The 25,892-nt window shown below is 38.5% G+C and overlaps 1 protein-coding gene across 7 annotated transcripts in view, besides 4 other annotated features; it reads right to left on the bottom strand.

Annotated features, from left to right (window-relative positions):
* The window catches only part of TENM3 (teneurin transmembrane protein 3), a 1,355,412-nt gene that overhangs the window by 830,346 nt on the left and 499,174 nt on the right, over positions 1-25,892 (bottom strand). The gene's annotated exons all lie outside the window — the stretch shown is intronic.
* Positions 1,022-1,211: an enhancer, noted in NCBI's record as "active region_22174". NCBI's record gives its function as "activates an Ori minimal core promoter by ATAC-STARR-seq in GM12878 lymphoblastoid cells {active_cell/tissue: GM12878}" and the evidence as "EXISTENCE:reporter gene assay evidence [ECO:0000049][PMID:35858748]".
* Positions 22,005-22,509: an enhancer, noted in NCBI's record as "OCT4-NANOG-H3K27ac hESC enhancer chr4:182871323-182871827 (GRCh37/hg19 assembly coordinates)". NCBI's record gives its function as "activates a minimal SCP1, AML or CMV promoter by ChIP-STARR-seq in naive and primed H9 embryonic stem cells {active_cell/tissue: H9 hESC(naive and primed)}" and the evidence as "EXISTENCE:reporter gene assay evidence [ECO:0000049][PMID:30033119]".
* Positions 22,510-23,014: an enhancer, noted in NCBI's record as "OCT4-NANOG-H3K27ac hESC enhancer chr4:182870818-182871322 (GRCh37/hg19 assembly coordinates)". NCBI's record gives its function as "activates a minimal SCP1, AML or CMV promoter by ChIP-STARR-seq in naive and primed H9 embryonic stem cells {active_cell/tissue: H9 hESC(naive and primed)}" and the evidence as "EXISTENCE:reporter gene assay evidence [ECO:0000049][PMID:30033119]".
* Positions 23,015-23,520: an enhancer, noted in NCBI's record as "NANOG-H3K27ac hESC enhancer chr4:182870312-182870817 (GRCh37/hg19 assembly coordinates)". NCBI's record gives its function as "activates a minimal SCP1, AML or CMV promoter by ChIP-STARR-seq in naive H9 embryonic stem cells {active_cell/tissue: H9 hESC(naive)}" and the evidence as "EXISTENCE:reporter gene assay evidence [ECO:0000049][PMID:30033119]".

Raw genomic sequence — 25,892 nt, 5'->3', positions numbered from 1 at the left:
CAGTCAAAGATACTGCCCAGGTCATGTTGTCTCCACATGTCTCTGGTCTCTGTGACTTGGAGAATTTTTAGGGAGACTGGAGTTCATTGCTAAGAGTTCAGCCTCCCTAAAGTGTCATCTAGCCATCTTCTTTAGGATCTTTCTGGGGAACACAAACTCATATTTCAAGGTTAGCATTTTAATAAGTTATCTTGCTTCTAATAATGGAGGAATGAGTTTGAATTTTTTTTTTTTTTTTTTTTGGACAAGGAGGTCTCACTCTGTCATCCGGGTTGGAGTGCAGTGGCATGATCTGACCTTGACTTGCCTTGACTGCACTGCAGCCTTGACCTCTCTGGCTCGAGTAATCCTCCCACCTGAGCATCCCAAGTAGCTGGGACTACAGGCATGCACCACCATGCCTGGCTAATTTTTATATTTGTAGAGACGGGGCTTTATCTTGCTGCCCAGGCTTGTCTCCAACTCCTGGGCTCAAGCCATCTGCCTGCCTGATCCTCCCAAATTGCTGGGATTGCAGATGTGAGTCACCACATCTGGCCCGTTCTTTATTACAGAGAGATGTTAAGCTATTTTCTCTCTCAACTAAGTCTCTGGAAAGTAGTTTCCCATACCTTTTATCTCAATTTCCTCTGTAGCATGAAGAGAAAAAAAAAAAACTGATGCAGTTTGCTAAGTAATCTTCCTGAATGGAACCATAAGTCATATACCAATATGGTAGGAGAGACGTTGCCGATATTATTATGGTCAAATTAATTCAATTAGCTCAGACTGACATGCTTCTCAGTGGCTATGTCAACTTTCCCATCCCTGGCCAGGTGCAGTGGTGCATGACTGTAATTCCAGTGCTTTTGGGATGCCGAGGCAGGAGGATCGCTTGAGTCCAGGACTTTGAGACCAGCCTGGACAACACAGCAAAGATCCATCTCTACAAACATTTTTTAAAAATTAACAGGGCATGGTGGTGCATGCCTGTGGTCCTACGTACTAGAGAGGCTGAGGTGGGAGGATTGCTTGAGCTCAGGAATTTGAGGTTACAGTGAGCTATGATCATGCCACTGCACTCCAACCTGGGAGACAGGGTGAGACGCTGTCTCCAAAAACAAAACCAAAACCAAAACCAAATACCCAACAACTTCCCCATCCCTGGACTTTCTGTTTTATGACGAATAAGAGGGTAGAACTATATTAAGTTAGTATGTCCAAAGTCTCTTAAGCATTACTCTGCCATGAATTTTTCTAGATTTGGCTGCACCATGATTTTGGATGTGGATCATGTTTTGTTTTCCCTGCTTTTTCTCACTCTCTCCTCTTCCTCCCTCCATTTTTTGTCTGTTTCTTTCTTTAACAAATATTTTTGAGAGCCTACTACATGCCAAGCACCATGCTAGGTACAGAGTATGAAGGGGCAAACAGAACAGACCTAATTCCTGCTTGCCTGGAGCTTATTCTGTTCTTTCCAATCCCATTCCTGATTTAAAAACATTATCTGTTGTGTTGGATAATAAATGCTCATTTTGTGACGGTCTTATATATTTCCTGAATATCACTAAAAATTACCAATAATTGGACTGGGCTCAGTGGCTTAGGCCTATAATCCCAGCGCTTTGGGAGCTCGAGGCGGGAGGATCACTTGAGCCCAGGAGTTCGAGGCTGCAGTGAGCAGTGATCGCACCACTGCACTCCAGCCTGGACAATAGAGTGAGACCCCTTCTCTGAGGAAAATGAAAAATAAACCAGCCAATATTGGAACTGTAGCATGAAAAAAAGCTTAATAAAAATCTTTCCTAGTTGCATGGCACTTATTGTAGGACATGTATTTGCAGCTCACAAAAATATCATTTATTTTTATTTATTTTGAATTCCCCAGATACATGGTATGAAACAAACCCAGAATTATTCTTTTGGTCCAAGGCTTGCTGTCATACCATTGTTTGAGCCGCCAGCAGCAGAGAAGCTGAGGAATGCTGAGACAAAAATCCAAGTGGGGAGGAGATGAAGGAGAGTCCACATGGCCTCTGGAACCCTGATTAAGTGGGCCCCTGAAATAACTTTAAAATGTAGACTTTAAAAGATATATCATACGATCACATAAAGGAGGTGGTTATGAATCACTGATGGTGGAAAAATTCTCAAGGAGAGTTCTAAAAACTGCTTGATGTTAAGCAGATGCATTATCTTTCAGACTGAACCACAGGAAGTGAAAGTTTCAAGACGATAGACAAAAGAGTATTTTTTTTCTTTTATCTTGATAGTTGGGATAAAGTTTCTGTCAGAAAATCCTAAGGTCGGCAATGATAATTTTAGGTAGTTTTGAAAGCTTAATTTTACTGCTCTGTAGCCTTTTAATAATAGTGACCTAATTTGCTGTAGATCCTGACAGCGAATTCTCATTAATGATAACTCCGTTTTGCAAATATTTGGAAATTTCACGTATAGCAATTACTTATTTACATATTTTTAACCCTCATTATTATTTAAATGACTACTGGTAATTTAGTTTTATGAATCAATAAAAGTTAGAATTATGTCTAGATGAATACTATTTAGCTTTTACAATAAACAAATATTTGAGATGAAGTTGTTTTCTGAAAGCTATCAACTATAGTTCAGAGATTGGCTTTCTGAAATTATTCTAAATAGAACAAATGGGGAGCTGTCTTTGCAAGTTATTTCATAATTAAAATCAGTCATAAAGAAACTCAACTCTATTTCTCAAAGCCTTGCTTACTTGAATCTTGCTAATAAATGAAGAACACAGCTTAATTTATCTTTAATTTAAATCAGTTAACACGTTAACGAATTAAATACTGCGTTTCTTAATTGTTTCTTGTCAGGTGGTATCCAAACTTGCAAAATGTTTACGCACCTGGGTGAGATTTCTGCAAAATGAGAAATAGACCTTCTACTTTAATGTAATTACTGAAATAATAGCACCTTATTCAGTTTGGTGCTTACCAATTTATTATGTACGTTAACACGATGGATCTCAAACTCTTTGCTGTCAAACACTGATGGATGTAACTGAGAAAATGTTATTTCTGTATATTTAGGTATCCTGAACTCATTTGCATTTGTTTACATTCTAACACATTTACTTTTGTGAGAGAGACAAGACAGGTATTCCCGTTAATGCTCACAGTATGCGTTGTACCTGAAAATGTCATATGTCATGCATATTGCGGTGGCAAAAATGTTGAGAAAGACTGAGGAAACATATTCTACCACATTTTATGCTCAATATATATCAATATTCCCATTTGAAAGATGAAGGCCCAGAAACTCAGACACATTAAATCACTGACTGATGTCGCAACATAGAAAAAGAGGTTAAATCAGAATTTTCCAGCTGGCTAACTGTAACATCTTTAAAGGTTCAAAGTGTTTTTCAGAGTTGTTATAAAACATGAATGACTTTAGTAATTTTAAATAATCAAGGGCAAGCTTCCAAGTGATTATCAATGAACACCAGTGTTAGTCAACATTTGTAACGTGTTTGGCAGTGGAACAATACGCCTAATTGGATTTTCTGGATCCTGTAAATTTTCATCACTTGTTTTGAAGCTTAAAAATTAACAAGCTAATGCTAACTTTTAAAAAGGAAATTATGTGTGTGTGTGTTTGTGTATGGGGGAAATTATTACATACACACACAGAGGCATACACACACACACATATATATGTATATAGAGAGAGAGAGAGAGAGAGAGAGAGAGAGACAAGAGAGGTATTCTAGTTAATGCTCACAGTATGTGTGGTACACAAAGATGTCATATGTCATGCATATCACAGGCACATATTTATATATGTGTGTATGTAATGATTCCTCCAATTTTTAAAAAAATTTATGGTAGGAAGTTAATATAAGATCTACCCTGTGAACAGAATTTTTTTGCATACAATACACTATTGTTAACTATAGCCACAATGTTGTACGAAAGATCTCTAGAACTTAATCATCTTGTATAACTGAGACTTTATTTATACCCATTGAATTGAGACAAATTCCAAAGTAGTAATAATGATGAACTATAGGTAACATGATTCTTAGTCATTTTTCTTTTCATTTAAAACATTTTCTGTATTCTCTGCGGTTAGCATTCTAGATGCTTTTCATCAGTGAGCTTTTTGTTTTATGAGTCAAGAGGAAAACGCTGGAAGCAAACCAAAGAAGAACAGAAAGAGCTAGATTCTTTCTTTGTTTCTTGCCACTGGCAGAGCAGTTGTGGATTAAGAGCTTCCTAACCCCGAGGTCCCCTCCATGTCTCAGTGGCAGATGACCCTCACCTGGCGAGAGCCAGTGACAACCGCGGCCCGAATGCCAGTTCTGAACTTACATGTCCTGCCTTAAGTTTCCTCCAGGTATGGCTGGACACGACCTACTGGGGAGGACCAAGCATGTAATTCACAAGCCAAGAAGGAAGGTGCAGATTTGGGTCACTGAAGGAAACTTTAGTTCAGGAGAGGTCTCCTGAAGCATAACAGGAGGTCTCACACCTGGTAAACACATATCTCAGGCAAGTGAAGTGGCTGAATATCTTCCATCCATCATCATGCATTGAGTTGTGGGGACCCAATCTGGGCTTCTGGTGCTCGGAATACCAGGACCTCCAGAAAGTCTGTCAGCGTTCAGCAAGACTCAAACCAATGGACTAGAATTTGGGAGCAGAACTGAAGTTCCTGTGAAGAGATCAGTGAGGGCGATGCACACTCCCTGGCCATAGAGAGGATGAGTTTGAGCCTCACAACAAAGGAAAAGCCCTGTGATCTCAAGCAAGGCACTTGGAAGGACGATGGAGCAGCCAAACTGTGTGAAATATTTCAGGCCTCGGTCCAGAAGTAAGCCTGGGGGGTGGAACTGAACAACGCCAGCCACGTCGGTGGCTCTGAGTTGGGAGAACCATACCTCACTCTGTTTGACTCTGAGCCTCTATCCTACAGTCACTAAAAATCTCAGGGGTTTGAGTTTGTGCTATATCATGGGGAAATGTGTTAGAGATTTGAAAATGGCCCTCTTACTCCTCCTGGGAAGAAATCATCAGCCCGTAGCAAGGGCCGAGCCAGCAATGCAAAGTGACAGTGACATCAAGCAGGCACATGCCCACTGCCCCAAGGAAAGCCAGCATGGGAAAGTCAGGGGACTTTGTTTAAAGACTGCACTTGCTTCATGAGATAAAGAAACTTAATGGCTTTTAAACCGGTGATAGGAATTGGACATTTCCAAAAAAAATTAACAGGAGGAACAAACACTTGTTGAGTCATTTATTGAATATCCTCTACTTGCTACGTGCTCTTTTACACACAAAACGCAAAGCCCCGTGAAAATCCTGAAAAATAAATGTCATATCTCCATTTTGCAGCAGAGTAAGCTGGGGGTTACAGAACTGGGTAGGATCACCTGACACATGGGTGGCTGTGCTGGACCCATATTTGGACCTCATTCTCCTGTCTTCAAAACCTGCGCCCCATGTATCTCAAATAAGGCTGCAAAGTTGAGGAAAAGCATTGTCTTTGCACATATCCAAATCATGTCTGTAATTTGCAGTTTCTGAAAAAGATGAAGTAGACAAGCAGGGAGTGGAAGGAACCCTTTCATGCAAAGTCTCTGCTGTTTACATAACTGCATGAAAAGAAATTTGGTGTGGCACATGCATGCTAGAGAGAGAGAGAGAGAGCGAGAGAGAGAGAGAGATATGGTGTGAGGGAACGAAGGGGAGGGAGAGAAGAAGGAGGAAGAGAGAGATTGTCTTCATATGGCATTCTGGAAGGGCTAGAGAACGCTAGCTGTGTTCCTTATACACTAATAGGTGGTCCAGGTGGGTCAAAGAAGAGCCCCCATCACCAAGTAAAGATAATGCTTTGTCACTTTTGTGTCTAGCGGCACAGTAGAAGTGGGAGTCAATTTACTAGCTATTGTGAGAAGGGTCTTGCCCATTTAAAAGACAGACTTGTTTTTATTCTCTCAGAGATTAGGTTGCTGTTAGTCCACAATGTCTTCAAATTACATCTGAAACAAGTATTTATTTCATTCTCGGAGCCTTTACTAATTCTTTGCCAGAACCTTACATCTGCCCTTGGGGCTTCTGGGAGATAAGATGATTTCAGCTCGCATTTTATTCTCCTTGATTGGCTTTATTTGGGGAAGACAGAAGACACCAAGTGAAATCTTGAATGGATTTTTCAGCCTTCTGCCTGCTTGACTTTTATATAAAGTGAGAAATAGGCTCAACATTAGCTGTGGCCTTCTGAGATAATCTAATAGAGAAAATCTGCAGAGAGCTTGGAGAATGACTTCATAATATTAAGTAAAGAAAAATACTCCACCATATGGCTCCCTACCAAATGTCTAGAGGACAGACTCATGCCTGGGGCAAGATTTGTTTTTTCATCCCCACCACCCCAAACTGAATGACACAGAGCCCATTTTGCTATCTGCTGAATAAATCTCCCTGTGTAACTCACTCTCCACAACATCCAGTCACACCCCTTCTGAGATTTGTGTGCCATGATACTTCATGAGGTCTGTGGCTTCATCGGGTGTCAAAAATAACCACAGCCTTTGTTGTTATCTATGCAAAGAATGACACAGCTGCTGGTCTACAGTCAAATTGATATGCAGGCATTTTAAGAAATTGATAAAAGCTGATAGCTTATAAAAGTCACTATTTTGTCATCCCTAATGGAATAATGGCTCTAGGCAATAATCATCCAAAGATACTAAAGCTTCAAGGTGAAAGGACAGGGACCTTTCTAATGGATAGATCAGGCAGACAACACCTGAACCCATGGATCAATCTTAGCATCACTCCAAGTGATGGGATGTGAGAGAGAACACACAGAGCCACTCTATAGAGGTGGAATTTCTTGCCTCACCTTCTCTTTTAAAAATATTCTGAATCTCATCAACAGATAACTGGCATTAAAAAGGGGATGGAGATTAATATAGAATACAGGAGACACAGGAGAAAAATACAAGGTGTGACTCTTGTTTGGAGCCTGACTTAAACAAACTAATTGTAACATGACATTCTTAAGACAGTCAGAGAAATTTCCAGATGGACTGAACGTTGGCTGCCATTAAGTACTTATTGGGGGTAAGGTTGGAGAATGGCATGGTGGTCTTATTAAAACAAGCAAACAAATGGGAGGGTCATAAATAAGCATCCTCATCTGTGAGAGCTTTATTTGGAAGTATTGGTAGGTGAAATAATGTGCTTTAAAGTGATGCAGCAGTAAATAGATAATAAATAATCTGGAAGGAATAAATGAACCCAGATCGGCAATATGTACATGCTACTTTTGAATATGCTTGAAAACGTCCATGATAAAAGTTAAAATATTCAGAGCTTTTGTTGTCTTTATCAAAATACTCTCTCCTCAAGAAGTCCTGTGGCTTTCTTTTCATAGGGAGAAGCAGAAAGACGAAAGATTAAATGCAGAGAATATGACTTCTTGTTATTATTATTTTTTTAAAATAAGGAGGAAGTTAATTGTCTCTTCCAACAGCACACACTAATTATGACCTGTTTACCTATGTAAATGAATTTATTTTCATAATTTTATAATTAAACTTTACAACAGCAAACTTGTATCAGGAAATATTTTACACATCTAACAGAAAATTTAGGATTTTTTAGTTTCAGAAATTTACTTTCAAGTTTTAGGTTCTGTCGCCTTTCTCTGAACCATTGTTCCTGTTTCACTGGCGTAGACACTTTAGATTGTCAAGAAAATGCCCTAACGTGGCTAATACTGATACCACATTGAACTTTTTCGTCAAAGGGGTTTTGCTTTCCAAATAGACACTCCTGGAACTCAGTGGATCAGTGTAAATCTTATTCTGCATTCTCTTTCCCTTTCCATTTTAAGTTTCATGTTTGTTTTGTAAATGTTTGTCCCTGTATCTACGTTTACTCTCTCACCGGTGGCAAATACGTGTTTTATAACCGAATCCCTGCTGGTACTTGTCCCATGTTGATGATATTCAGCAGTGCATGCAGTATACCAATAATGTCATATAGACGAGAAGAAGAAAATAGCCCGATCAGCCTATTCCCAATTTGAGATCAGAATGGCTATTTTTTTTTTTTCTAGCAACATTAAGGAACTTAGAGTGTTGGGGGGATGAAGAGAGGAAGAACAGAATTGAGGAGGGATGGCAGGGTTGGGAGAAAGCAATGCTACTGTACTACACAGACACAGGAATGACAAAAGAAGGAACACAGCAAGGCTTTTCTTCAAACAGAACGTGTATGAAAAAGCTCATTCAGGCTAGAGTCATCTGACACACACAAACAAAAGTAGCTGCCACTAGACAGATACAGTAGCTTACCGGAGATTGAAGTTCTAAAAGCTTTGTAAAATTACCCCTCATCTTTTTGACACCCTAAGTCCATATCTTACTTTGTTGGGGGATTGGCCATTTCCTGAGAGGCTGTGTCTAGGTGCAATTGGAGCAAATGCCTCTGTGGTCACCACCTAAGGCAAGAGATACTTCTAATTTCTGAAACCATCTGGTCAAAGGCCCTAATCAGTCTATTTTTTTTTCAAGGTACATCTTATGCCCCTTAATCCCCGGGGACTTTTGGGAGAGACCTCAAAAAAAAAAAAAAAATCGGAAGGTCATTGCTTTAGTCTGAATCAATTCAATAGAAAATTTTAGGAGAGGTGAGCTTTTCTCCAGCTTTCTTGGATTTAGTCTTTTTCTTACATCAAGTATAAAACATCCCATAAACCATAACAGAAGAGGGAGTTGGGCAGTTAGCCTTGACCCATATCTTTTAGGGGTCATCTTCCTAGTGTTAACTACCCCAAATTAATTACTTACAACACACGGGACTCTTTATGAATTCCATGTGAATACCTAAAATGATCATTTTTCATTGCACCTACTTATATAACAAGCACCCATTAAGTTTTAATTATCTCTTCTCACCAAGCCTTTCATCTTTGCGTTCTATCCACTGCTAGGGGCTTTTGAAGATGGAGACTTGGATTTAATATACACAGTTCATTGAAGGACTTACTTTGGGCCATTCAGGTTCAGAACTTGTTGATTGAAGCTATGAGGCCAACATGTTCCTCATACACGCAAAAATTCCAATTCCCTCTGAATTCAAATTACTATATTTTCTTAGGGAATCAGGGCCATATTTGGCCTGCAGTATCTATATCCCTTCTAGAATGGAAACTCCATGATGAGATCAAAGCTTAAAAACAGCTTTCTTTGTTCTTTTGGGCAAATCCAGCTTTGAAATTTAACCGAAAATATTGCTGCATGCAAGCTCTGCAGAGTTATATGACAGACAAAAAGAGAGTGAAAGAATGAGGGAAAAGGGAAAGAGAAGTGTAGAAAACAAAAATATGCAATTGGAAGCTTCTTTATATTCAACTAGTCATTGATTTCTTTTAATAAATTACTTGTCTTACTGACATATAGCATTATTTTGAATTTTATTTGTTTATAGCCACTGACGGATCGGGCTCCCCATCTGTTTGAGACAGCTTTTGTAGAAGCAGTATGGCCAAATCTAATTATTTCTCTTGCTACAGTGGTAATATGCTGTATCTTCAGAAGAAATCGATTCTAAAATGTATTCAAAGAAACCAGCTCACAATCTATGTCAAAGTATTCAATAAAATAAACTTTTCTGTCTGGAAAGTATTGAGGTGCATTACAACTCCAGGGCTGGAATAAAGGGTAGAACTGCTCTTGCTTGAGAGGCTGTAGCAATTCAATATTAAAGAAAACCACTCACTAATCACTCAATAGATAGATGTAGATTTGTTTTTTGAAATTTTACGTACCATTTATTTAATTTTATTTCACTTCCTTTAGTCTACGTGTTGATAACAAAATTGGTATTTGAGTACTGGCATTTGAATTTTGAGACGCTAAGAACCTGGCAAGAATGAAGTGTCTCTTACTTCAAGCATCACTGGAGTGTCTTCTACATACTTGGCTGTGACTGTAGGCTTTACTTTGGAGGCAAAAAGAAAGTAGTTAATTTGTGTGTCTTTTTAAAAAGGTGATCATCACGCCATGTAACTTATACTGGTTGTTTTATCACATGTAAGATAATACGACGAGCTCTTAAGCCATACAGCTGGATATTGTTTGGCACCAAAACAACCTGTTTCATCCAAACCAAATTCCTTTCCTTAATCCACTCATCTGGGAAACAAACTTTCCTGGCATGGTATCCACTTCAAGTTGCAGATACAACAATACCAAAACTGCTACCACCAATGGGTTAGCACCTATGGTGCTTGATTGCATGCAACAGAGAGGGCAGACCCTGAGTTACAGGAGAAAAAGCACAGAGATCCGATCTGCTTACCCATCTTACAAGTACTTTACTCAACTATTTGCTGTTAATAAAATTCTGGAATTTGGATCCTGGCTGACGTTTTCAAACTTCATTGATATGATAAAAAGGATTTGGATGCATTAAAATCAGAGTGGGAGAGGCAACTAGAATAACTTAAAATATAGTATGAGTATTTAATTTTAGGTGACTTGCTTATGTCTAATTTATGTTAGCTAGAGCTATACACATTGACTGGAGTTTAATCTGCTTTTAAGCTGTCTTTTTCTAAGTGATAACACAGTTATGATAAAAATGATAATCTCACAATGTAGACTGGCTCCTGCCTACTTCCTTTCTTCCTTGCCTCCTTTTTCTCTCTTTCTAACCTGTTTTGGGTCTTAGTGTAACATTTTCACCTATAGTGAATAAAGATTTGGGCTTAAAATTTAAATTTTATCTTTCTAAAACAAATTAGTAGTTTGCCATTATAAAAGGAAAGTAAAACTTAGCAGCAGTAGGCCTATGGTGGAACAAACAATATCTTTACTCTTTTGAAGAAACTATGTGAAAGTTGTATAAGCCAACATGTTGAAATATCCAAAAATAATAGATTTTATAGAAACCCCTACAGAAACATTATATGTTGACTATTAGATATATTGAAAAACATTTAAAACTATATTTTTTTATCTTGGGAGGCCAAGGTGGGTGGATCACGAGGTCAGGAGATCGAGACCATCTTGGCTAACACGGTGAAAGCCCGTCTCTACTAAAAACACAAAAAATTAGCCGGACGTGGTGGCGGGCGCCTGTAGTCCCAGCTACTCGGGAGGCTGAGGCAGGAGAATGGCTTGAACCCGGGAGGCAGAGCTTGCAGTGAGTCGAGATCGCACACTACGCTCCAGCCTAGGTGACAGAGTGAGACTCCATCTCAACAACAACAACAACAAAAAACCACAAAAACTATATTTTTTATCATGTTTGGTAGCTTGAAAAATAAATTCTTTCTGCCTACCCAAGTTTCTGAGTGCATTGATCCAAGGTCATTTTAAATGATGAAATAATAAAATACTCCCATGTAAAACAATTGCAAACAGTTGCATGTTATCATTGAAGTTTGGCTTAGTTACGTGGTGCTTGACCTTTTCTCCTTTATTTTGCTCAGTTCCAGCACAGAAGTGGAGACACAAGTTGACAGCAAGCATCAGGTAGCTTTAAGCAATGTGCACAGTGGTTCCAATTATTTTAAGGTAGTGGGTGCCCATGGATAATTGCTTCCACATTTTCTTATTCCTAATTTGGGTCTCCCTGTTCCTCAGGAGCTTCATCATGCCCTCTCTGAGCAGGCCCTTTGCACCCCTGGGCTAGATCAGACATCCAAAGCCATCTATTCCCTAGTGCAGGGTTACCATTAGCAATCTGCAATGGCTGTCACAGAGCTGTGTGATCAGCCGGTGGTATTCTATATGACCAGAGTTGCTGGGGAGATGACGCAAAAATAATCTTGTGGGAGAAATAAAAGAAAATATGTAATGAAATTGGTACTCTAAAAAAATATGTGGTCAAGTAAGCTTAAAAGTACATTTACCATACTTCTGTTCTAAAAAGTATATATAATGATTTTACGGGCAGTTGATGACTTGAAACCTAGACTGTCTGTTAGAGTTATAGTGTATACAAAATTATAGATGTTGGGAGATTTCTCCATTGTTTTAGCAGAAACTATCAGCCCTCTTTATTTAAAGGCTAGCATATCCCCAGGCAAATTGAGTTTCCATGCTCAGTTGATTCAGAGCCTACTTCAAGGAAAGGCTGCCAACTATGTCAAAATGTATACTGATTTTGTGATATACATAGTTTTCCAAAGGATGAAGTGAGATCACCAGTCTCAATCCATTTGTGACTTGACTTCGATTTAAAGTTGCCCTCAAGAAATAGCTGGCTGGTATTATATGTGTACTGAAATATTTTTCATTGAGGTAGGTCGCTCCTTATCCTTTAGTTTACTGATTATGAGTCACTAAAATTATCTTGAAAAATTAGAAAAAAAAGTCCTATTATTGAGAGAATCCATTACATTAGTATAAGGCAAAACAGCCTACTTACCATCAACAGGAACATTTTAGGAAATTTGTTCTTTTTGACATTTTCTAAAAGAATAGCTCTTCCTACAACATTAATGCTAAATAGATGGAAAGTGTATGAAGTATAAGAATATACACAAATTGCATTTTAATTCCTATTTTTCTTTTAAAAGATGTCAATGATAAATCCAAATGTGGCTTAAATATACACTTTGCTTCAAATGTTTAGGAAATGATGCCTAACACAAAGAAAAATAAAGCTATTAATTTTCCATCTGTGTAACTTGCCCTTGAACTTTATTAGACATTTGTCATTTGCTTTTGCAATATAAAGTCCAAGATTCCAGTTTAAAGGATGTAAACATTAGTTGCTTCTGCCTCTCTACCCCTATTTTAGGATATAGGCATTTAGTTTTCTTAATGTCTATTTTATATGGACAATTTAAATACCAATTTAAGTGGTATGTGACTCACATCTACTACCTGCCAAAACTCCATATATTTCTACTTTTGAAGGCTTTTAAAACTTCTATTTGGAATATTTTAAATGAAAATACATCACCAACAATATAAAATCTGTAATATGAATTAATGTTTTTTTCTTTCAACATTTTGTTGGTATGTAAGATGTCCCCCCTCCCAAGTGAAAAGACAGAAAAAGATTAAAAGGTATGGTGTGGGGTGCCGGCATGCCGGTGATCTGCTAACCAAGCTGGCTACCCTTTGTTGCTTTAATGGAACTCTGGATTTATTAAATTCATTAACTGAATTTGAATTTAAATATACAATTGTATTCCGTTCTCTCTTCCTCCCTACTCTTTTCTTCATTTGCTCCTTTTCCACTCCCTTCCTTCTTCACACATAATGAACATCTCCTGTTGAAACAGGGGCTGTGTCAGACACTGGAGCTACGTGGTTATCCAAACAGAGGCTGCCCCCAGCTTCAGTGAGTGAGTCAGTCAGTGAGAGAGACGGGCAGTCAACAGATACTCATAGATTCCTGTAATTACAAAGTATGACAAGAGCTAGGACAAAAACCACTGGGGGCCTGGAATGTGGGGACTGGGACACCAAATTTAGATGAGGAGTTGAAGAAAGGCTTCCTAGAGGAAATGGCATTTGAGTTCAGTGTATCATAACCAAACAACAACAATTTTTTGAAGATATAATATGTACAGAATTTAATACTTGATTCTGAAACTAAAATTAATAATAATCGATTCACCAAACCAAACAAACAACAACAACAAAAAACCATTCAATGCTCTGATTCTTCACCTCAAGGATTTTTATAGTATAATTATACTTGTGTATTATGATTTTATTAGTGAATCAATACATTGTCTAGATATAGTTATTGAAATACGTTTATATACATTCTCCCCCATAATCATCCATTAACCCTGTGCACTAAATAGGTAATTACATTATTTAATAAATATTGATTTTTCACTGTGTCGTAGTATGTATTCTGCTAGATTCTGAGAATATGATACTGAGGGGAGACTGTCACTGGCTTCTACAATGTATAATCAAGTATTCTAGTGGGATGAATACTGTGTATGTGAAGTTTTCTCTTGGGGATCAACTCCTGGTGGTTTGAAGGACATGGGAGGGCTGTATATTACTGGCTTGAGGTCAAGGGAGACATTCTGTGAAGCAGTTTCCAGCCTACCCACTCGACACAGGCAGAAACCAAAGCCCATAAATATTAGACAACATGCCCAGCTTCAAACATCTCAGGAATTTTACAAAATTATTAAAAAACTCTATCTGATGTAGAGTGAAGCAAGTATGATTTACTCATATCATTACTGTATTATTGACACAGTTACTCTAATCCTAATTTAGGATATTTGCATTCCAAACAGTTTAAATAGTTTACAAACTATCAGGCAACTAGAAAGTCTAATTCTTATTGTTTGATAATAGAGTCCAAAAAAGCAAAAACAAACAAACAAAAAGACCTGAAAATCTGTCATTTAATTTATCATTGAACTGATTTTCACTCTAACTTTCTCTGCAGAGGTACTTAATCACCCCTGCAACTGCCTATATTGGAAAAGATGGAACCAGAACAGGCAAGATTATGTGTCTATGTTCAGGAAGAAAGGCAGATAATCTTCATTTTAAAATTCCCATTTTAAGTATACCCTTCAAGTATAATTTACTTTCTTTAACAGTATGAACAGCTTGAAATGTGCAAAGGATTTTAGTTCAAAGAAGCTTACTTGTGAGTTTTAATGGAGAAGGTTAATTTTTAATTTCTTCCAAGACTTCATAATATGATAGGAAAAATTATCAGGAGATAATTAGAAGAAAATGACATTATAATACCCAAAGAAAAACATATTTTGTAAGCATTCCAGAAACTCAGCACAATCCGAAACTATAATCCCAGTTGGGTGGGATCAGCATTTTTACAACACATTGAAATGAGAACATTTAGTGCGCTGAGCCACAAGGTTGACTTCATTGTTCGTTCTCTATCAAAACCCAAATTTTTAAATAACAGTACACCACTGGACCCAGATTCAATGGTTTCCCAAAGATCAATTTTTACTGTCAGATGTTAGCAAACTAGTGTCTGCCTAGTTGGATGATCTAGACATGCCTGAATTGTTAGGATGTTCAGGGTGGCCCATCACCATTGTAAATTACAGTAGTTCACAGCAATGATAAATGTTTCCCGTCTGCTGATATACTGGCACATTTAAATTATGTTGCATTACTATTCTGTCTCTTTAAACAAGAAGAAAATTAAGCTTCAAGTTTAATTAAACATTATCTTAAAAATTGGGTTTTGGTTTATAAAATTCACCCTGTGATTCTTCCAAGTTCCTTCCTTGAGAAAATAGATTGCACGTTTCACTGGGATTTGACCTTAATTAATCCTGTACTTTGTGATCCGCCCCCTTGCTGAAATAGTCTTATGAAAAGGAATGCAAGCTATGGGCTAAGATAACAATCGGTCATTAACTTCTGTGTGTGATGCTGGCCGTGGTCCATGAGCATGGAATTCAAAACCCATTGTACACAGTAATGTCCAGGGCTTAGTGCTCTATGGCCGAGAGACAAAATAAACTGTGCAGAACAGCATCTTTACACAGTCTACATGGATTTACATTAGAGCAAACGCTCTGAAACATTCATAATGCAGCATGTGCATTGACATCGAATCCTGCCGTGTCAGATGACACAGGAGATAGGTCATTCCAGCAATGCCAACTGAAATCAACAAGCAAAAATGGTCACTTTCCAGATACCATTATTTTAGTGAGAATAATTTACAGAGTTATCGCTTAAAGTTTAAAAAAATCTGATTATTTCCTTCTGCTGTTTTAGGTAGTATCCTAGGGCAGTAGCTCTCCTTACTAACATAACTTGACTGCCTTCTAAATAAGAAAAGTGTTTGAATTAATAAATATTTGTTGCCCGTTAATCTAAATCATATGTAGTCCAGATAAATATAACACATCTGCAGTACTATTAATAAAGCAAGTGCCTATAGCATCTGAAATCTATTATGTAGCGTAGCTTTTTCTTTTGGCTGGGACATTCATCACCTCCCCAATAAATTTTTAGCCTTGGGAATCCGAAGAATGCCAAGTGTTGATTTCCTTGCATTTGTGCAAGTAATCAAAGAAACATCTTGTAACTCTCCAGCACAGTAATGATGATTTTATAATATCATTTTCAGATTCAAGATGACTTGTCTGATCTTTGGATACTTTTCATTCATCTCACATTTGCTGAATACCTACTATGTGCTGCATACTCTTCTAGCTACTTGGAATATAGCAGTGAACCAAGTTAAGAAAAACACCTGCCCTCATGGAACATACATTATAAAGGCATAGATACTCATACCATGAGAGGTTGGCATACAACTTTTGTCATGGGTGTCTATTGAAAATGGAAGACACTTATGCAATATTCTGAGAGTATGAATTGTTGCTCTTATATTTCAATTACTAAGTGCTATGGTCTATATATTTGTGTCTCCTCAAAATTTCCACATTGAAACCCTAACACCCAAGGTGATGGTATTGGGAGCTGGGGCCTATGGGAGGTGATTAGATCATGGAAGCAGAGCCCTTATGAATGTGAGTAGTGCCCTTAGGAAGGAGACCCTGAGGGCTCTCTCACCCCTTCTTCCATGTGAGAACACGGAGAGAAGGCACTGTCTAGAAACCAGGAAATAAGCCCTCACCAGACACAAAATCTGCCTTGATTGTGGACTTCCCAGCCTCCAGAATTGTGAAAATCTTCTCTTGTTTATAAGCTATGCAGTTTATGATATTCTGTAAACAGACTAAGACACCAAGTGCTTCTGAGTCTTGACATGTAATACCAACTTGTTTGGTTCCTTTCATTTTCATGCCCATGAGAATAACCTTAGTGTATATCATTGCAATAACCTCCTAACTGATCTGGTACCACCTAACCCTTTCCTGACTCAAACTCACTTGGAAAATTAATTAAATAGTTAATTATCTAGCAGTGACCCTATGCAAGATGGCTCTGAATCTTCTTAAAGCACTCTTTCTACCATGGCAGCCCTTCGTTAAGTGGCTCCCTATCGTCAACCAATTCATGCTAATCTGCTAAATCTAGGACCTGCGCCCCTTTGTCATCTGTGCCCAAGTAGTCTTTCCAAACCCTTGTTCCTCCCCTCCCCACAACATGTGCTAGATTGCCATCAGACCATCCTTTTATCACTGGCCCCTTCTTGCCATGATTTGCTGCACCTCTAGTAATTCTATTGCAGGGGCTCTCTCTGGCTGGTAAGAGGACTGTAAGCCTTTGCACTTGCTGTCCCTCTGCCTGGTATAGTCTTCCAGACATTTTCCTGGCTGATTCTCTCCTTTCAAGTATTGGCCCAAAGACCACTTCTTCAGGGAGGCTTGAGCATCAGGCTCACATCAATTCAGGTAGCCACTCCTGCAGTGCTAGGGAAGGGCAAGGAAGCAGGTGAGGAAAAAAATCAGATTGTTTACAAATATACTAAATTCTGCCTTCCCCTCCCATAATGGGATATCCAGTGGAAGATTCCTTATCTGAAAATGTAATAAGAATCCCTCCAAATTGTATAATTATTATGTCCTAGAATAAAAAAAAGCTACAGCTTCGTGAGTTTAACCTACAAGAAACCTGTGAGATAAATTTCTCAGTTAATGGTTAAGGAGATTTTTAAAAAGTCTTATGTAATATTTATTGCAATGTTGAAACTAAAAATATCAATTTAAGAAATAGAACCATACGTATGTGGCCACTGAATTTCAGAAAAGGTGCTAAGGTAATTCAATGGGAGAAGGATGCTCTTTTGGTACAGTGCTGGAAAACTGCATGTGTATAAGTGTATATATATGAACGAATGTATCTCATGCCTTATAACAAACTATAAACAGAAATTAACTCAAAATACAGAATTATACTAGTTGTAGATCCAATCATGAAAACTCAAAATATAATTTCTGGAAGGAACACAGAGAATCATCTTGACTTTGGGATAGGCATATATTAATATTTCTTAGGATGCAAAAAGCAGAAACAAAAAACTTTATCAAAATTGACATTCGTTAGAATTAACCCTTTAGAAAATGAAAAATCAAGCCACTGACCAAGATCTAGAATCAGAATATATAACCGAAGCATACAACTCACTAATAAAAGACAAATAATAAAAAAGACAAAAAGTGTGAATGGAGATCTGCAAATAAAGATTACAATAACCAATAAACACATTTTTAAAAGCTCAGGATTATTAGCCCATAGAAATGCAAATTAAAGTCACAATGATTTATCTCTGCACACTCATTAGAATGGCTAAAATTAAAAAGACTAACCATACCACGTGTTGGTGAATTTGTAAAAAACTGGAATTCTCACAGATTATTGGTAGGAATACAAAGTGATACAAACACTTTGTAAAACAGTTTTCCAGCTTTTTATAAAATTAACATATATTTAGTATATGACTCAATAATTCTACCTCTAGGAATTTATCAAAGACAATGAAGACATATGTCCTTATAAAAACTTGCACACAAATGAACATAGCAACTCTATGCACAGTAGATTAAATTGGAAACAACCTGAAAATATTCATCAACAAATATAAAGATAAACAAATTATAGTAGGTGTATTCAATGGAATAATACTTAGCAATAAAAAGGAATGAGCTACTGATACATGCAACTACATGGACACATATACAGTATAAGACAATTTAAATGAAATTCTAGCAAAAGCAAATCTAATTTCTAGTGACAGAAGCCGCTAGTTGTGCCTTCCAGTCCTTAGTGACAGAAGACTGTGGTTGCTGGGGAGGACAGATGTGTAGGACTGACTGAGAAGGGTCACAAGAAAACGTTCAGGGTGATGGAAACGTACTATACTTTGATTGTGGTACTGGATTCATGGTGTATAAATATGTCAAAATTTATTGAAATACACACTTAAATGGGTGAATTCTATTATATGTAAATTATACCTGAATGTCAATAAAACATTAAAAAAATACAATCCTGAGCTTATATTTCCACTCATGGTTTATAAAGCTTCTTCACATATGTTATTTTCTTTCTTTCTTTTTTTCTTTTTTGAGACAGAGTCTCACTCTGTCACCCAGGCTGGAGTGCAGTGGCGCAATCTTGGCTCACTGCAACCTCGCCTCCTGGGTTCAAGCAATTCTCTGCCTCAGCTTCCCGAGTAGCTGGGATTACAGGCACCCACCACCTACCTCAAGCAGGTGGAGGTAAGTATGAGCTGGTGGTGTTTTGTTGCCATTTTGCTGTATCCATCGATGTAGCAGGACAGCCTGGGGATTAACATATGATGGTAGTGGGCTGATGTGTGTGTGTTTGTGTGGGTATGTGCATGCATGCTTATTCATGCATATAACAAAGTATAGATACATAAAATATCCTTCCTATGTGTTGAAGTGATGAAGTATGGTCCCTTGACATTCACAAAGACTGATGATCATGATGATGATGATGATGATGGTGGTGGTGGTGGTGGTGGTGGCCATCATCATTATCCAAATCGCACATAATAATAAGAGCATCCACTTCATGGAGTTATATTGAGGATTAAATTTGAAGCATATAGAAAGCACTTAGGACACTACTTAGCAATTGGTAAATACACAATAGGTGGTAACCGCTATGATTAATGTGATGTCACCCCTTACACTTCAGTGTTCTTGTATACAAAATAAAGGTAAACATAAACCTCGTGTTTCAGGATCTTTGTGTGAGTTAATGAGATAACATATGTGCAATCAGTCGCATCAGTAGCCCCCGTGGGGCCATGGCCACAATGACTGTTGAATGCATGTAACTGTGGCCCAGGACAGAAAGGCCTAGCCAGGGAGTAAAAAGACTCTGGAATGAGGATGAGGTCCCTTTCCTAATTAGAGGTGAATGTAAAACAGTGACAGCTCTGCTCTGGACGCCCCTTGGCCCCCCAGCGCCTGCGGCTCAATGTTCACTTTGTGCAAGCTCAACTGATCTCCGAATCTGAGGCCCTTCCCTAAGGAAATCTAGGGAGTCCTGCCTGCAGACTTGTATGTTGATCTCACGTGTCCTCTGCACTGTGTGTTGGCTGAGCTGGAAGCAGCCCAAAAAGGAAATAAGTCAGACTAAAGTCTGTCTGAGTCATTATATCTTCTGAGTTGTTCGTGGGATGGGCCTAGCACAAGGCCTAATGAATTGTCTTCTTTCTTCCCTTCCGAATATTGGTGTCTATCACTTTACAACATTTTGTCTCCTCATTCTCTGTGAAGAGCCCACTCTCTGGAACATGAGAACATAATTTGATTGCTGCTGCTCTGAATTTTCTTTGCTTAATGTGTTGTACAGTAATTCAATTACCAGCGGCAGACAGGTAGAAGACTTCCTCAGTCTATTTATTCACTTAGCAGAGAAAGAAGAAACTGAATTTCCAGGTCTACCTAAAATGGAATGGGCTATGCAACAATTTCCAGATAAGGCTCTTATTCATTATACAAACAAAGAAAGCACAACCTCTCCGATTTAAAAGAAGAAGAAAAAGGCCCCAATTTAGAAACACACGATGATTTGCTTCCAAAAGAAAGGCAACACAAATAGCTTTATAACAATGTAAAAGTATTTCCACAGATCACATCCCTAATTACTTTTATGAGTTTAAAAGCTTGCTTTATTCACGACAGGCATTATGACAAGGATGGAATAAACCACAGTTCTTTAAAAAGTCTAATTCTGTGACTATAATACCATACAATATAATACAGCAATACTTCAGACTTTCAAGTAAGTTTTTTAAAAAACAAAACATATCCCACTAGACAAGCAGCAAGCATGGAAAAACCCTACAATATATAAAGAACAATTTCCACTCCCTGAACTCTTTTACCATAGGTTTACAGCTTTCGATTACATTTCCTGGAACTACTAAAATCATAATTGTTGTCCTCTTTTCTGTTAGACATATTCTGTTCTCTCTCGTTTGTTTGCTGTTGCATGTAACTGTAAGTAACTTAAGAAAAGCATGTACCAGTTTGATGAGAAAAATGTACTTTTTTGACCACAGTGAACAAATGCACTTAGGTATAAACAGTTAATAGATATCTTTGTTGAGTTTACATGTGTCCATCTCCAAGCACAGCAAAGCAGAGGGGCACTGGGTACTGTAGATAAAGCAGAAATGCTGTAGGCTGCCATGATCCTGAAGTGTGGATTTCAAATATGGACTTTGCCGTTCTTCCTTTATTTTGACTACAGAATGAACTGCAAGTCTTAATGCCAGCTGACAACTACACGGTACTCACCAAGTGTCAACCTCTGTCAACATGTCACATGTAAAAACCAGTAGGTTGCATAATTCAGGTCTGTACACTCATGCTAAAGCTCCTGTTTCTAGCACTTCTGATATGCTCTAGAAGACATTGGTTCTTTTCTCTTTGCGACTCTGATTTTGAGACAGGTCCAGGGTTAACAAAAGTAAAATAGAGGCTGTCACCCATATGCAAGTTTTTGTTCAATGAACTTGGAGTGGAAGAAAAAAAATGTGTGTGGGCTTCAAGTAAGACACTGAAGAATGAAAGGCATTGAGTGCAAAAGATATTTTTAAGCATCCAATGTGGGAAATTAATAAAGAAAACTGGGAAAAATAACATTATCCAAATTAAGATTTTTAAAGCTGATCTATGGCTGTATCTTCTTTATTTGTTTGTTTGTTGATGTTTTTGTTTTTCTGAGATATGATCTTGCTCTGTTGCCCAGGCTGGAGTGCAGTGGCGTGATCATGGCTCACTGCAGCTTCCACCTCCTGGGCTCAAGCAATTCTCCTGCTTCAGCCTCCCGAGTAGCTGGGACCATAGGCACATGCTACCATGCCTGGCTAATTTTGTTTATTTTTTGTAGAGACAGGATCCCACTATGTTGCCCAGGCTGGTCTTGAACTCCTGGGCTTGAGTGATCCTCCTGCCTCAGACTGCCAAAGCGCTGGGATTACAGGCATGAGCAACTGTGTCTGGTTGTATCTTCTTAAATAATCTCTTAATGTAGTTTGGAGAATTTTTCAGATGTTGAGAAAATGGATTCACAGTTTGTTAGTAACAGTGCATGAATACAATGTGCCCACAATGAGCACAACAATATTTTACTTCATTTGTTGAGTGTCCACTGTGTTTTGGGCACTGTCCAGGGTGCTGGGCCAACAGCAGGGACCCAGACCAAGTGCCTTCATGGAGCTTCCATTCAACTGGGACAGATAATTGCATAATAAATGTTCAATTAATATGGTGTAACATGGTGTTAATATGCAATGGAGCAAACTATAGCAGGAAAAGGCCGGGGGAATACAGGAAGTGAAAAGTTTCATGCGCGTCCCTGTGAAGAGACCACCAAACAGGCTTTGTGTGAGCAACATGGCTGTTTATTTCACCTGGGCGCAGGCGGGCTGAGTCCGAAAAGGGACTCAGCGAAGGAAGATAAGGGTGGGGCCATTTTGTAGGATTTGGGTAGATAAAGGAAAATTACAGTCAAAGGGGAGTTCTCTGGTGGGCAGAGTGGGGGTCGTAAGGTGCTCAGTGGGGGAGCTTTTTGAGCCAGCATGAGCCAGGAAAAGGGCTTTCACAAGGTAATGTCATCACTTAAGGCAAGGACCAGCCATTTACACTTCTTTTGTGGTGGAATGTCATCAGTTAAGGTGGGGCAGGGCATATTAACTTCTTTTGTGATTCTTCAGGCCATCTGCGTATATACGTGCAAGTCACAGGCGATGTGATGGCTTGGCTTAGGCTCAGAGACCTGAGAAAAAGTGAGGTTGCTATTTCAGTTAGGATGGTCAGGTATGGGCTCTCCGAGGAGGTGGCTGTGCAGAGGCCTGGAGGAAGTGAATTTGAGGGAGAGGAACAACAAGTGGAAAGACCTGGAGGTCAGAGGTCACTTGGCACAACCATAGACCACCAGGGAGGCAGGGGGCTTGAGAGGAGGACTGAGGAGGACTGAGGAGGAACGTGGAGGGTGTGAACTCAGAGAGGGTGTGGGTGAGGGCAGGCCCATTGTGATGATCATTGTGAAGCTTTCACTCTGAGTGAGATGGCCAGCCATTGAAGGGGATACGTAGAGAATGGCAGGCTTGGACTTTCATATTAAAAGGGACATTCTAGCTTTCATGCGGAGGAATAGGGTCCAGGTTATGGCTCTTACAATAATCTGGGTGAGACACATGTTGAGTTGGGCCAGGGTGGTAGAGGTGCAGGTGAAAGAAAGGGAGGTCTGATTTCAAATTGATTTTGAGGAAAATAATAGGATTTGCAGATGGATTGGAAATGTGCTATGTGACAAAGAGAGAAGACAAGGATGACCCTAGGTTTTTGGTTTCATTCATAAGCCAAATCTTCAACAGCAGTTCTTTCTTTCCATCCCTAGTCTTCTGCCTTAAAGGCAAACATGAATAAAAGGTCTATAAAACCTAAACCTTTTGCAGTTGTTCTATTAAGAAGATGATGGACAGAGTACCTCTACTGTCTAGAAATAAATCCAGTTTGTATTTAATTCATTTGAGGAATTGCTCATGAACGGTTACCCATATATACATTCTGCATGTAATGCTGACAAGTTCAATTTCTGCTTGGGTTAATGGCCACATAAATGTCTTTTACATGAGTTAAGGTTGCTTGGAGGCAGGAATGATTTCTAATTTTTTTCTACGTCTGGCATTGCTAGATCAGTTTTTTCAAACTTGCTGTTTAAGGTCTAGCCTCCCCTTTGTACTGGCGGGTAAATCTAATTAACATTAATGAGAGTCCTGTGCACATATTGACAGGATAATAGACCTTTTAGGATGGTTCCTCCCCTCCTGCACTAGCACTCCCCTACTGCATACTAGCTGATTATTTCATTAGGCAGCAATATAAACCCAGGCAGGAGAACACATACTTTGTGGAAATTAAATGGGAAAATCTGCATTCATCCACACTTTCCTTTGCACTGGGGTGAAGACAGTGGGGGTGGGGGTACTTTTCAGCCACCAGAGAATCTAGTTCTCTTCAGACAAAGGCTTTCATAATTTTCCGGCCAGGCGCGGTGGCTCACACCTGTAATCCCAGCACTTTGGGAGGCTGAGGTGGGCAGATCACGAGGTCAGGAGTTCGAGATCAGCCTGGCCAACATGGTGAAACCCTGTCGCTACTAAAAAAATACAAAAATTACTCAGGCATGGTGGCGTGCACCTGTAATCCCAGCTACTCAGGAGGCTGAGGCAGGAGAATCTCTTGAACCTGGGAGGTGGAGGTTGCAGTGAGGTGAGATCGCACCACTGAACTCCAGCCTGGGTGACAGAGCCAGACTCCATCTTAAAAACAGAAAAAATTATTTTCTATTATATAAAAAATAATTTATTGGCTGTGTATGCCAGCTGATAAATTTGTCTAAGCATTTCCTTATTCTTAAGGTTACAAGAAATTAAATTCGTTTTATATCAGCTTATCCTATTAAAATGTTCTATATACAACCAATAGAAGCATTATAGTCTCTATTTTTTCCCCCCGTGAATTAAATTTGGCAAATGAAGAACCTCATATTCTCCTTAAGAGTTAAGTGTGTTTTGTAACCTCCATAGAAATTGGAATAAATTATTGCATGGCTGAAGGCAAATCAGTGGTACCGGTTATAGTTTTCAAACTTCAGTTACCAAATAAAACTGTGTCTCCCTGAGAGTGAGTGCTCGCTTTTCTTTACTAAGGCTGTCTCAGAGAAGAAGCTGCAAGTATGAATTTATTTTTTTTTCCCCTTCCCAAACTTGAGAGGTTGTGAGTCTCATGGAAAAAGTGTGATATACTAGAAATATTGAAAGCCGGCCGGTTTGTTTGAATCTAAACTTTTCCTCTTTGGGGTGGTATCAGATAAATCCATCAGTTAAGAGAACTTGACCCATTTAGCCATGCAACAGCTAAACCCTTAATCCGAACAGATTCATTTTACAGTTCAGATTTTGCCACTGATACTGCACTAATTTAGACTCAAAGGTCAACATGTTAGAGCAAAAAGGGCATTTTTTTTTTCTTTTTTGGCTCTTGAGAACTTGAGGAGCAAAGACTTTCCCATCAAAATAGGTGCAACTATCTGTAAGATCTCATTATTTTCTATTTTATTTATGAACTGAATTTTGCTGTAACTTTATAAGTAACATTTTTCAAATATACAATGAGACGTTTAATACATAAAGAAGAGAATGGTAACACTCCTCAGTATCTTCACTGATTTATTTTATCAACCATCTTTAAGAATATGAATGAGTTAGTGAAAGAGTAAACGGGAAGAATAGAGACAGATTGTAGAAATACCAGCGCTCACATAGGTTTTTGAACAAAAACCAATCACAAGTCTAGGAAAATATCTAGCTTGTGAATCATAAAACCTGTCTATTAAAACAATAAATCTGTCTTTTCTAATGGAATGAAATTTTTCAATAGAAGACAGTTAGTTACTCAATTTTGCATTTTTAAAAATAGCAAAATAGACTTTGTCACAAGTGTACGTAGCATAGTACTTCCTCATCCATATATATCAATTTATTATTTTAAAAGTGTGTTTACATACACTGTCTCGTGTGATTCCCACAATGTACTCATGTTTATAGCTTCTGTGCCTGACTCACAGTAGGCACTGAGTAAACAACTCTGGTAAAAAGAAATAATTATCCTGCGGCTAGGATGGTTATTATGAAGCCCATTTTATAGATGAGGAAGTCAAAGCTCTGAGCATCTTAATGAATTTTCCTAAGTCACAAACACGGTCAGTGATTTACATGGGATTTGAACTCAGTGTTTCTGATGTAACCATAGTGCTTATTACACTGAGGAAGAATAAAAGAATTGTGAGTTGGAGTCAAATATTTTTCTCCATCTAAATCAGACATGAACCAAGGAGTGGATTTTCTATGAGATTTTCTCCCGACTTGATTATCCTTTTTTATACCCACTGCCTTCTGAGTTTGCTCAGA

This window comes from Homo sapiens, chromosome 4 (genome assembly GCF_000001405.40).
Source record: "Homo sapiens chromosome 4, GRCh38.p14 Primary Assembly".
Lineage (NCBI taxonomy): Eukaryota > Metazoa > Chordata > Mammalia > Primates > Hominidae > Homo > Homo sapiens.
Note: the sequence above shows the minus strand (reverse complement) of the source record. Positions and strands in the feature narration are given on the sequence as shown.